Source organism: Homo sapiens, chromosome 8 (assembly GCF_000001405.40).
Source record: "Homo sapiens chromosome 8, GRCh38.p14 Primary Assembly".
Classification (NCBI taxonomy): domain Eukaryota; kingdom Metazoa; phylum Chordata; class Mammalia; order Primates; family Hominidae; genus Homo; species Homo sapiens.
In genome coordinates this window covers 139011904-139024035 of record NC_000008.11, presented here as the reverse complement: position 1 = coordinate 139024035, position 12132 = coordinate 139011904, and the positions used below count along the sequence as shown (strand labels likewise).

Below are 12132 nucleotides of genomic sequence, written 5' to 3'. Positions count from 1 at the left end.
TTCACTGATGACTTTCAGACCCTCCACGTGTCCCTCCTCACCAGGGTGGGGGCGCAGGCTTGTCTGCTTCCTGGGCTCTCCCCTTCTTTCCCTGCAAACCTGCTGTCTGCATCTGTGCCTGATTGCCATGAATGGCCCCACCATGCTCCTCAGCGTTTATCCAGCCTATCACCTGTGAGTTATATCACAAATTATACCACATCCTGTTAATTATGCCACAAAGATCTCTGTAATTACAATAAAGATATTACTAAGAGTTAACACTTAATCAATAGTTAAGTATTTGGCAGGCATCATAGTACGCACTTGACGTGTGGTGATTCATTTAGTAACAATCTTACGAAGTGGATGCTATTATTCCTCCCATTTTACACATTGAGCTGCAGAGGTGAATGTGCAGAGGTTAAGCTGCTTGGCTAGTGTAATAAGTGAAGGCCCTTACTAATAAATGTCTCATCTCCATGTCCGTTATCGGCATCTGCATTGCAGCTGCCGAAATGAGCTTCCTAAGTCAAATGAGAGCTCTGCTTCCCTAGTTAAGCTGTCGTCTGTAGTCAACAGGCGTTCTCCAGCAAGGTATATGGATTATCCTTCATCATCTACATCCTGCCTACCTGACCCAGCCTCAGATCCTGCCACTGATGCCCCATTTTAATGCCCAGAAATTCTTCCCCAGGTGATGCCTTCACGGACTCGCTGCAGGGATGAGTACAGCACGTGGAAAGCTCTTTGCTGCCACCTACTGGTCGTCTAAAACTATTAGAGAGGCTCGTGGGAGAAAACCCACAAACACAGCTCTGTATGGATCCTTGGGATGTCGACCAGTGGTTTCCATGGATTTTTATTTTGCACAGGACTCTCCTGATGCAGTTTAGTTTAGTGTAACATTTTCAAAATCAGCATTCCCAGAGGTGGGAAAGAGAGCCTGTAAAATAGAAAAAGAGTCCTCTGGGGCTCGGGCAGATGGGTTCCAATCTCAACTCTGCCTCTGCCCGCTGGTCAGTCTTTCATTTCTCTGAGCATTCTCTTCATTTGCAAGATGTGATTAATTAATACTTAATTTGGGAGGTTTCTGTGGCATTTAAGATCATGTTGGGCAATTAACTCTGGTTCCTTTCCGTTTTTACATGTGGAAAGAAAGAACAAATACTAAGCATAATCCAGAAACCACAGCACAATTAAAAAAGAAAAATCATAAATCTCTTGGCCATTCTTGGTAGTAGCTCAGACTGCTAAAATTCCTATCTTGGATCTGAGACGTTTTCTTCCTCCTTTGTTAACAGGCACACAGCTACAGAAATGCCTCAACTGTTACCCAAGAAACACTCTCCTTTCCTAAGAGTCCTTTACAGCAAAGCTCTGATGCTTCATTCAGAGTCTTCCTGGGCTGCTTGGCGGGAGGGTTGACATCCAAGGATGCAGGATCCCTGCAAGGGAAAAAGAGGACACAATCCCAAAGGATGAAAAGTCTGAGAAGGAGCTGATGGCACCGAGGTGAGGTCCCTGAACAGGGCTCTCCCACCTGCTATCACATCGTCCTTCTGACCCCCAGGCACCTGGCTGTGATCTCCTGGAGCTCCTTCTACGACTCCTTCTTCCCTTCCCTCCATGCTGACAAGGTCTGTCCCAACGGCCTGGATTAAATTCTGAGAAAATGACTTCACCTCCAGTGATGCCATCAGCACCTTGAAATGAGAATAAAATTGGCAAGCAGATGATACCAGTGGCCCCCTGCTGCTCGGTGCCGCAGAACACCAGGCTCTCATTTTCAGCATTGAGATTGCTTCTCTGCACCTCGCTGACACCCACATCATGGGTTCTCTCCCAGGGCAGAGGAGCTGAGCCCAGAGGCTCCTGCAGAGGGGGACCAGCCCCCGGCTCCTTCCCTCTGCTCTCCGCCCTGGCTCTCCTGCTCCCCCTTGCAGTAGGACAAGGATGCATGGTGCGACTCCTTCCTTCCCCAGAGAGGCAGGTTCTGTGCCTTTTCAGGCCCGGGTCACTGCAGTCACCTCCCAGGAGATGTGGGGACATTTCTGAGCTGTGTTCCAGCCCCTCTCCCTCTCCTGGCCCTGGGGCTGTGGGCTGGACACTGGCATAGGATCCTCATTCCCTCCCTTCACCACTTACTCGTGGGTCTCTAAACCTTCACCATGCAGTGCCCCACTTCTCACAGACCCCACCACCTGGTGTCATGGAATGCAGAGTCCAGAGCGCCTTCCACACTGTGGCCCCTTCTGCACTGTGGCCCCTTCCACACCGTGGCCCCTTCTGCAGTCAACTTGCCCAGCCTCAACCCAGCCCAATCTCTGCCTCCAACATTTAGAGCCACCTGAATCGCAAAGAAAGGCCAGTGGGTGTGAGATGTTTAGTTCCGGTTTTATTACCATTTATTGCCAAGTGACCCTAATGGAGTCTTACCCAAGGACATCAGTGAATGTGTTTGTAATTTTGGTTATTGTTGTTATTTGGTTATTGTTATCTCTATTATTGTTATTTTCTCAAAGAACTGTATAGCTACCTCATCTGCATAATGAATGCTGTTATAACTACCCCAAAATTTTTCGTTCAGCATTTAATAAATAATTTATTTCCATCTCTATTATATTCACACATCTCTATTTCTATCTCTATTATATATGCACATCTGGCTTATAAGTGCTTTTTATTATAGTGTTTATTATTGAAACAACCCTGATGATAGAAATCATTAACCCTATTTTACATATGACAAAGAAAAAGATCAGTTATGAAACACACACAGGCACAAACAGCAGAAAACTCCTCTAGCCTGTGACTTGTGATGATCTCAGGTGCATCCTGCCATCTTCCTACATCAAAGGGCAGCAGTACCCAGTGGAGGCTAGAGATCTGAGGAACAGGGAGACTTTCCCAGCTAAATGTCTACTGGGGCCAAATCAGTGGCCTCCTGAGAATCAGGCACCACGCAGAGATGGAGGCAGAGATAAATGACAATTGTTGAGCAGATTTGTAACGAGTATTCTGGAGAGACATGTGTGAGCCTTGTGGGCTTCCACCACAAGTTCCTACTTCTGGACTTGGCTCTGACAGCAGCCACTTCCCCTCTTTCCTCATTGCTAGAATGGGAGGGTGGACAAAGGCTCTCTCGCACTGCCTCTAGGGGGTCATGGTGCTGCTAGTGGGTTGCCTCTGATTTTTTTTTAATATCTGTTCCCTTGGGGCCAAGTTGTCTGGCAGTCCTTGCTTAGCACAGTTTTATTCTGCACACATTGATCACCACAGTCTACTTGGATAAGACCAGTCCCCTCCCAACATGGTTCAAATTCCAGTAGCCCTGGTGCATGAATGGTGGGGAACTCCATAACACACAAGAACACTTGACTCTGGCAGGCTGCTGGGTAGGCGATGGAATATGGGGGTCCTTCTGCAGTCACCCCACAGGTGGAGTCTCAGGATTTATAATCAGAAGAATCTGCTGTGAAGGTCCCAGGTCTGCCCTTACAAGCTCAGTGACTCTAAGCAAATCTCTCTGATCATCAGGTTGCTTCCCTAAAAATTCAAAAAGATAGTAGTAATATTTGTACCTGAAGGTTGCTATGAATATTTTTATTTGGTGAGAACTTTGGTGGGAAGTTAAGGTGGCCCGTGACTCAATGGGAAAAACATGCTTTGAAAAGTAGAGTCTTGCACACGCATTGGTTCACGTACATTGGATGGTTCACGTACATTGGACGGTTCACGTACATTGGATGGTTCATGTACATTGGATGGTTCATTCTTCTTCTTCTCTGACACTCTTGGGTCCACAGGACGCTGATGCTTAAAAGATGGTGGGAGATTTGACTCTTAAATTATAGAAAGGAATAAGCGTGTGAAAGGGTCTGGCAACCTATGAAATGGGACATTGGGAGGTCCCCAAGACAACCTCCGGGGGCCCAGCCCATGCCTCCTCCACTCACCACCTTCTCTTCCTTCTTGCACTTATTTCCATTCTTTCTTTTTTCTCCTTTTGCTCTTCTCCCTGTCATCTTTTGTCTCCTTTCTGCCCTTTCTTTTCTGTCTCCTTTTATAGAATACCAACCATGGTGCCAGATACAGGACAAGGACACGTGAGTAAACGAGACCTCATCCCTCATTCAAGAACCGTCTCATCTCCTGAAGTCAAAGGAGCATGAAGGAAAATAACCCAGAGAGAAAGAAGCAGGTGGTCAGCCCCAGCAGGGGACCAGCTTCCACCCCTGCCTCAGGGGCATGAGCGCTGAGGATCTGCATAATATACGAGAATGCTTGACCCAGGCAGGCTGCTGTGACGGTGGTGGGCTGTGGGTTTGAACTGGATTCTAATATTTTTAAGACAGGAAATTATCCTGAAAAAAGATGTAAATTATTTCTATACCCTAAGAGTAGACCAAATTTACCATTTTTTAGGGAAGACTAAATATTATGCCAGGAGATGCCCTATATGATAATGCACACATAAAGAAGTTCTTATCCCCATGTCTTGAGGAAAAAAATTTCATTCAGCAAAGTAACCTGAACAAGTTCTGTGAGACAGAATGAGAAAATATGTGTTCTGCTTAGTTATGGGAATTAATTGGCTGTGGAATAGGAATCTTTACAGACTTTGTTGCTTCTATTGGAGATATGTCACTTTTCTCCGCGTGGAGTTGGACGTAGCACTTCACTTACTTCTTGTTCTTACGGAGTTGTGTGACTTCTCCTAAAAGCAAAGGTGAGATGAGATCCTGAGGGCTCCAGGAAAAGCCAGCACACTTGAGATTTCCCTCATGCTGAAGGTGAAAGTAGGAGAGGAAAAACACAGTGCTGAGTACTGTTGCTTCTGGCTGAGTGCCAGATCAGCAGGTCAGCAGATGTCTAAGGTCACAGATCAAAGGCATTTTTAATTTTCAATTATCCACAAACTCTACCCTCAACCCTAACCCAACAAATTACAGGTGCAATTGACTCTACATTCCCTAGCATAGAATTCATTTCTCATAACTACATGGATGCAAACAATCTTGCAGCTTCATTCCCCACCTCTGCCATAATATGTTCCACATTGTCCCAATTAGGACCATGACCCCTCATTGTAGCAAATTTCCTACTGGTTCTGCTGAGAATAACCGACCCCATCTCTGTTTCTCCTGGTTATTCAAATGATAATTAAATTCACATCTGTGAGTATTTTTTCAGGCTCATCCCGCGTTGCAGAACTGCATGCTTCCTTTTGTTCCTGCATTTTTGCACACACTTCTGGAACAGCACATCCTATTTTAGAAAACAGCACAGAACAGAGGAGGCAGGTGAGCAAAGTGGTTAATAGAACCCACTCTGGAACAAAAGTACTAACATTAAAATCTAGATTTCACAACTTGCTAGCAGTGGGACATTGAACCATTTACTTACTCTTGCTAAACCTCAGTTTCCTCTTCATAGATATGCACATAATCACAGGAGCTTCTCAAAGAGTTGTGAAGAGTATTTCAAAGTGTTTAAATATCTAAGCATAGTGCCTGGCAAAGAGGCTCTGCTCGATTCCTATCCACTCTCATCCACATCACCGGTGTCCCCATGGTCAAGATACCGTCATCCCCATCAGAAGTAGCAGCCCCAGCATCCTCATCAACATCACCATCGTCATTCTCACCATCGCATCATCCAGCTCCCATCACCTTCATCATCGCCATCAACACCATCATCATCCTTACTATCGCATCATCCAGCTCCCATCACCCTCATCATCACGATCAACACCATCAACCTGTGTCATCATCCCCATCCCCAACATCATCATCATCACCGTCAACATCACCACCGTCATCATCTACAGGCCCAGGGCTAGTTGACTTCTTAGATTCGTAATGTTTTGAAAGTAGGTCCATGTTTTATTTACCTTTATGTCTGCTGCAATAACAGAAAATATCCAGCCCTATAGACAAGAAGGTTACCTCATTTGGGAGAACGCAAGGTTTTGTAATTTATTGATCTCATTTTACAGATGGAGAAATTGAGGCCTTGAGGGGAACTGACTTCCCTGAAGTCCACAAATCATGTATAGCAGAGCTGGGGCTAGTATGCAGGGCCCTCTTATTACATCGTTACACTGCAGGTGTTGGCTTAAGAAAACAAAAGGAAGTAGAAAACCTTGGAATCACAACGCTTCTAGAAAGAACTCTTGGCAATTGGATTTTCACATTTTAGCCCCAGTAAGCTGAAATAGAATTGAGCTGTGGTTTTCCAGGAGAGAGACAGAATATACACATAGACCATGTCCACAGATGACAACAGAACTCTGACCCACAACTCCTGTAGCAACCAGCTAGGAAGCCGGACCACAGCCTCGGAAGACATTGGCCCAGAATGATCAGGACTTGGTCAACAACTGCCAGTTTCCCTTATTCTGCTCCACTTTCAACTCAGGACCACTCAGATAAAGCTAAATATGCTCCCTAAGCCAATGACATCGGATGCTCCAGCCAGCACCTTCCCCAGTCAGCACATACCCCTGCCTCTCTGTGTTCCTCTGTAAAGCTCTTCCTGCCTTTGAGTCTCTGCCAAATGCAAGGGCTGAACTTTTTGCTACTGCAAATTCTGAAGAAATAGCCTCTGTTTGTTCTCATTTGGGTGATCTTTGTTTATTTCTACACATTTGAGATAAGGAATACTTTTATCAGGGCCAAACTAAGTCAGGGGCTAACATGAGGGCTATGATAACAGAAATGGCAGTTCACCTAATGAAGCCAGCTGTCTCCTGCACACCCAGGACTTCAGCCTGTCTGACCAAAACCACTGCAAATGTTCTTACTGACCTTTCCTTATCTACTGCCTAGGGTTGGAATGATGGCAACCTCCAGCCAGGCAGCCGAGGAAAGCTCTAAATGCATTGCTTAATGTGGTAGCTACTGGCTACGTGTGACTACCAAACACTTGAAATGGGGCTGGCAGGAATTGAGATGTCCTGGGAAAGCCATGCTAGATTTTAAAGACAATTAAAAAAAACATGAACTATCTCATTAAAAATTTTATATTCATGATACATTTAGGATCAATAAAATATATTATTAAAATTCATTTCACCTGCTTCTTTTTACTTTTTAATATGAATATAAAAAAATTGAAAATCACTCTGTGGCTCACATTCTATTTCTACTATTAGACAAGGTGGTCTAGACCACAGCGAGTGTCGAGGCTAAACGTCCCAGCTAGCCACCTAGACGCACCATTGTGTGGGGTGAGTCCACCTGTTTACCCTCTGATTACTGCAGAGTCTCCAAACTTCAAACAGATTTTCATGCCCCGAACCTTGGCCTATACCAGTGATCCTCAAGGTTGTGTTCCTCGGTCAGCGACATCAACATCTCCCAGGAACACTGCAGAAGTGAAGGCTGAGATTCCAGGCCAGGGCCACCGTCCTTCAGTGCGTGGTACCCTGCAGTCCTTCTCTAACGAGACGTCTGGATGAACCTGAGCTGCACAGAGGTGCTCTGTCCAAAGCACCCTGGCACAGACATTGATTTTTACCCAGCCATTAGTCACCCATCCCTCACCCCTTCATCCCTGCTAACAAAACCCTGGTGTCTCTCAGGCGGTGGTGACCTTGATTTGAGCTCCCCTGAGCTGAGACCAGTTCTGGCCTCCCATTCTCCCTTCCCCGATGCCTCTTCCCCACTTGCCTTGAGACTCAAACTAAGGGTAACCAGTTGCCAGGGCTCTGGCTGGGGGTGGCTGGGAAGCCTGCCACATCTCTTCTGTGACAGCTTTTTCTCCTCAGCAAAAGCAAAGCCTCCTTTTCTGCCTGGCCCACTTCTTTCCTTCCCGAGCAGCTTCTGCATGAGGACAGGGTGCTGGACCAGCAGTGGCTTCATGCAACATCGAGGGAAAAGCCTGGAACCCCAGGATGGCCAAGCTGCTGGAGCAAGCCTGGCATTGCCAGACCCAGTGCCTCTTGTTAGGAGGGATAACCAGGCTTTCTCCTTAAGCCCTGTTAATTGGATATTCTGTTACTAGCAGCTGAGCACATCCCAAATCATATAAACCTTGCACCTTCTATAGCTACTGAAATTCTAACTATCTGTGAAGGTCCACGCCACAGCGCTGTCCACTGGCAATCCTGGCTTTTACCCCAGCCGTGATGCTGGAAGATGGTCACAGCTAAAGAACCTCCCCATCCCAAACTGTGTGCGCCAGGAAACCACTTATAGCAAGAAGCCCTCCTCCCCAAATAAGGCGCATAGATGCCCCCTGTTTACCTATGGCAAGACCAGGCACAGACCTCCACATTCCCATTATTTGCCCCTTAAACAATTAGCAGAACTTCTTGTCCTCACTGATTAATTTAAAAACAACAACAACATTTTAACCAAACTCTGCTTGTTGCTCTTTCCCTGCAGACCCCAGACCCCAGCCTGAGTGCTCCCAAAGGCCCTCCAGGGAACAGGCTGCCTGAGGACAAAACTCCCACACACACCTGTTTCTTTCTAGACTCTTTCACTCTGTACTTTAAAAGATAAACTCTTCTGAGAGACTGGCAGATACCATGGTCCTTCTCTCCCTTGGCAATTATCCTTGGGAGTCATGTCTCCTTTCCTAAGTGTTGAATTGCTTTATATTTGACACCACCATCACACACACACACACACACACACACTGCGATAGGTAACCTGGAGGTGGCCCCCAACAATTCCCTCCTCCTGCTTCTCACCTCCTTGTGTCAGCCTCATCTTGAGTGTAGGGTGGACCTCGGGACTCAGCTCTAATGAATACAGTGCAGCAGAAAGGAGGGCACTTCTGAGTTTCAGTTATAAAAAGACTGCAGCTTCCAGGTGGGAGACTCGCACCCCCTCTCTCTGAGGACTCATGCTGGGGAGAGTCAGGTGCCGTGTCCTGCAGACCCTGAGGATGTCCAGGGAGAAGTTCCCATGCCACAGCCAGGGAGGAGCTGCCCACAGCCCTGGGAGTGGGTGATGTGGAAGGGAACCCATCGTGCCTCTAGGTGACTGAGCCATGGGTTCGAGGGGTGCCTCACGAGAGACTCTGAACCAGGACCCCACAGCTAAGCTGCCCCCAGATTCCTGACCCTCAGAAACTCTGAGCAAATGTTTATTTTTCTCTTTTCTTGAGAGACAAAATAGCCTGTGATTTCCTTATTCTCTGCCAGTTGGAACCTATGGTGTGTCTATTCTTTTATTAATATCTTTATTTAAAAATAAATCTCTATATTTAATTTAATTTCAGTTATTATTAAATATTTCTATCAGTTTCTACTCTGCTAAGAACATTTGTACATGTTAACTTCACTGAACGTCCTTCCCCATCATTTTATTTTTAATTTATCTTTACTTTTAAACCTAAAATAAAATATACAGTAACTTAAATATTCTAACTCACAATTAATTTTGTACTGTTCCATACAGATAATTTAACTGAAATGGGCAGTATTTTGGCTTATATTATTGATTTTGTTGGCACTCTCTGTTAGCTTTAGTGATTAGATTTTCTTTTTTTTTAAAAAAAAAAAATATTTCAATGAGAAGTTTCCTTCAATAAAAAGTAGATCATTCTGATGTGGTGTAGCTTGATATGGTTTAGCTGTGTCCCCGCACAAATCTCAACCTGAATTGTATCTCCCAGAATTCCCATGTGCTGTGGGAGGGACCCAGATGGAGGTAATTGAATCATGGGGGCAGGTCTTTCCAGTGCTATTCTCGTAATAGTGACTAAGTCTCCTGAGATCTAATGGGTTTATCAGGGGTTTCCACTTTTGTTTATTTCTAATTTTCTCTTGCCACCGCTATGTAAGAAGTGCCTTTCACCTCCTGCCATGATTCTGAGGCCTCCCCAGCCATATGAAACTGTAAGTCCAATTAAACCTCTTTTTCTTCCCAGTCTCTGTATGTCTTTATCAGCAGCATGAAAACAGACTAATACATAGCTCATTCTACGTAAGTTTACAGTACTTGTGTTTTGCTCTTCTAAAAAGTCAACAGAAATATATTCATCCTCCTGTTGGTTATTTTCTGCTTGTTAAGACATATGTAAGGCATTGTACACTGTGTCCATTTTCAATGTTGTTTGTCTTAATAATAATACTTTTCAGATTACAGTTACATTTTCTCTCATTTGATCCTTCTCATAACCCTGGGAGGAAAATTTATGATCTTTATCATAAATAAACTGTTATTATTCCCAGTTTACAAAGAAGGGTGTGGAAGCTCTAAGAAAGGAAGTAAAACGTGTAAGGTCGCATGACTAGTAAGTAGTAGGATACAGTTGTTTCTGCAAATCCTTCCCACTCTGCAGTCCCCAAGGATTTCCACCTAAATATACCGGAGAAACAGGGTCCTGGCTCCTTCCCCAGGCTCCTAATGTCCAGCCCCTGGCCAGGTTCCCTTCATAGCCCCAGAATACCTGCCCTGCGGTGTTGTGGATGGCGCAGGTGCAGCTATGGAGCTAGGGCCATCTCCTGCCTCTTCTGCTGGGCTTTTCCACGCTGCGTTCCTTACGATGTCCTCGAATTCCTAAGAAAGATTTAGACTCGGGCGATATGTTGGCGGCCTCTTTATTCATCTTAATTCCCTGACCATCAAGGAAGTGGCTATGGGAGTGAACCTATCAATAAAAGATGCCGTGGGTGCTCCACCAGGCATCTCCTCCCCCACTGTGGTTTCAGCCACAGCTACAGATGAAAGAGACTTGCAGATAGCAACACACTTCATGCACTTGCTGTTTTTTGTTATCTGCCTTAAGGCCTTCTCTGAAGCCATGAGAATTCACTCAGCATCCGTACAAAAGTGCAGTCAGGAGGTGTCGGTTGTCTTTTTGCTATTGATTTTTTAGTATTTTTTATATCATAATATAAATTATTTGTTAGATACACATTGCAAATATTTTCTCCCAGTCTTCTGCTTACGTATGAATTCACTTAAAGGTGTCATTTGATGATCACATTTAAAAAACAATTTGCTGACACCCATTATTTCTTTTTACTTTCTTTTAGGGTTAGTACTTTTGTGCCCTAAGAAACTTTTGTCTACACGAAGAGTGTGTATTTGAGAAAATATATATTCTTCTGTAAGTTTCATGGTTCTAGTTTTTAAAATTAAGTCTATGATTCATTTCAAATTTACATTAAATGAATTACTGTCTAAGGCCGGGAGTGGTGGCTCATGCCTGTAATCCCAGCACTTTGGGAGGCTGAGGTGGGTGGATCACTTGAGGTCAGGAGTTCACCACCAGCCTGGCCAACATGGTGAAACCCCATCTCTACCAAAAATACAAAAATCAGCCGGGCATGGTGGCACAAGCCTGTGGTCCCAGCTACTTGGGGGGCTGAGGCAGAAGAATGGCTTGAACCCGGGAGGCGGAGGTTGCAGTGAGCTGAGATTGCGCCACTGCACCCCAGCCTGGGTGACAGAGCCAGACTTTGTCTCAAAAAAAAAAATTGTATTGTTAGATAATATCATTAAAATTAAAATTGCTTGAACCTGGGAGGTGGAGGCTACAGTGAGCTGAGATCATGCCACTGCACTCCAGCCTGGGGCGACAGAGTGAGACTCCACCTCAAAAAAAAAAAATTACTGTCTAGATGATTGAAATAGGGATGGAGATTTTAAAAATATGGTTATCCAGTTGTTGGGCAAGTTAACCTTGCTAAATTTATTGAACAGTTCTAGCGTTCTAGCTTTCTTTTGTAGCTTCCTTAGATATTTCTACATATACAATCATGGGACCTGAGAATGCAGAAAGCTTGAGTTCTTCCTTTGTGATATTGATGCCCTCCCTGCTTCTGCATGCCTGTCGGTCTGCGGTCTAAGACTTTCAGTGCCATTGCATGTGAGTCGTGCAAGTGGTCATGCATGCCCAGTACCCAGTGACGGCAGGAAAGCACTCAGTGCTTCACAATTAAGTATGAGGAGGGCTGTAGTTTTCCGAGGACCCTTCCCATCAAATTCAGCGCATTGCCTTCTGTTTCTGTTTGGTGTAGATTTTTATCCTGAACAGTTATTAGATTATAACAAGTAATTTTTATTCTTCTACTAAAGTGGTCCTATGGTTTGTCATCTTAATTGGGTGAATGCAATGATTCTCACATGCAAAGCCACCCTTACCTTACTGAGATATGCCTTACCTCGTCACATTCTATGTATTTCT

General features: G+C 44.9%; 1 annotated feature.

The window, feature by feature from the left end:
• Positions 1983 to 2484: an enhancer, noted in NCBI's record as "H3K4me1 hESC enhancer chr8:140033795-140034296 (GRCh37/hg19 assembly coordinates)". NCBI's record gives its function as "activates a minimal SCP1, AML or CMV promoter by ChIP-STARR-seq in naive H9 embryonic stem cells {active_cell/tissue: H9 hESC(naive)}" and the evidence as "EXISTENCE:reporter gene assay evidence [ECO:0000049][PMID:30033119]".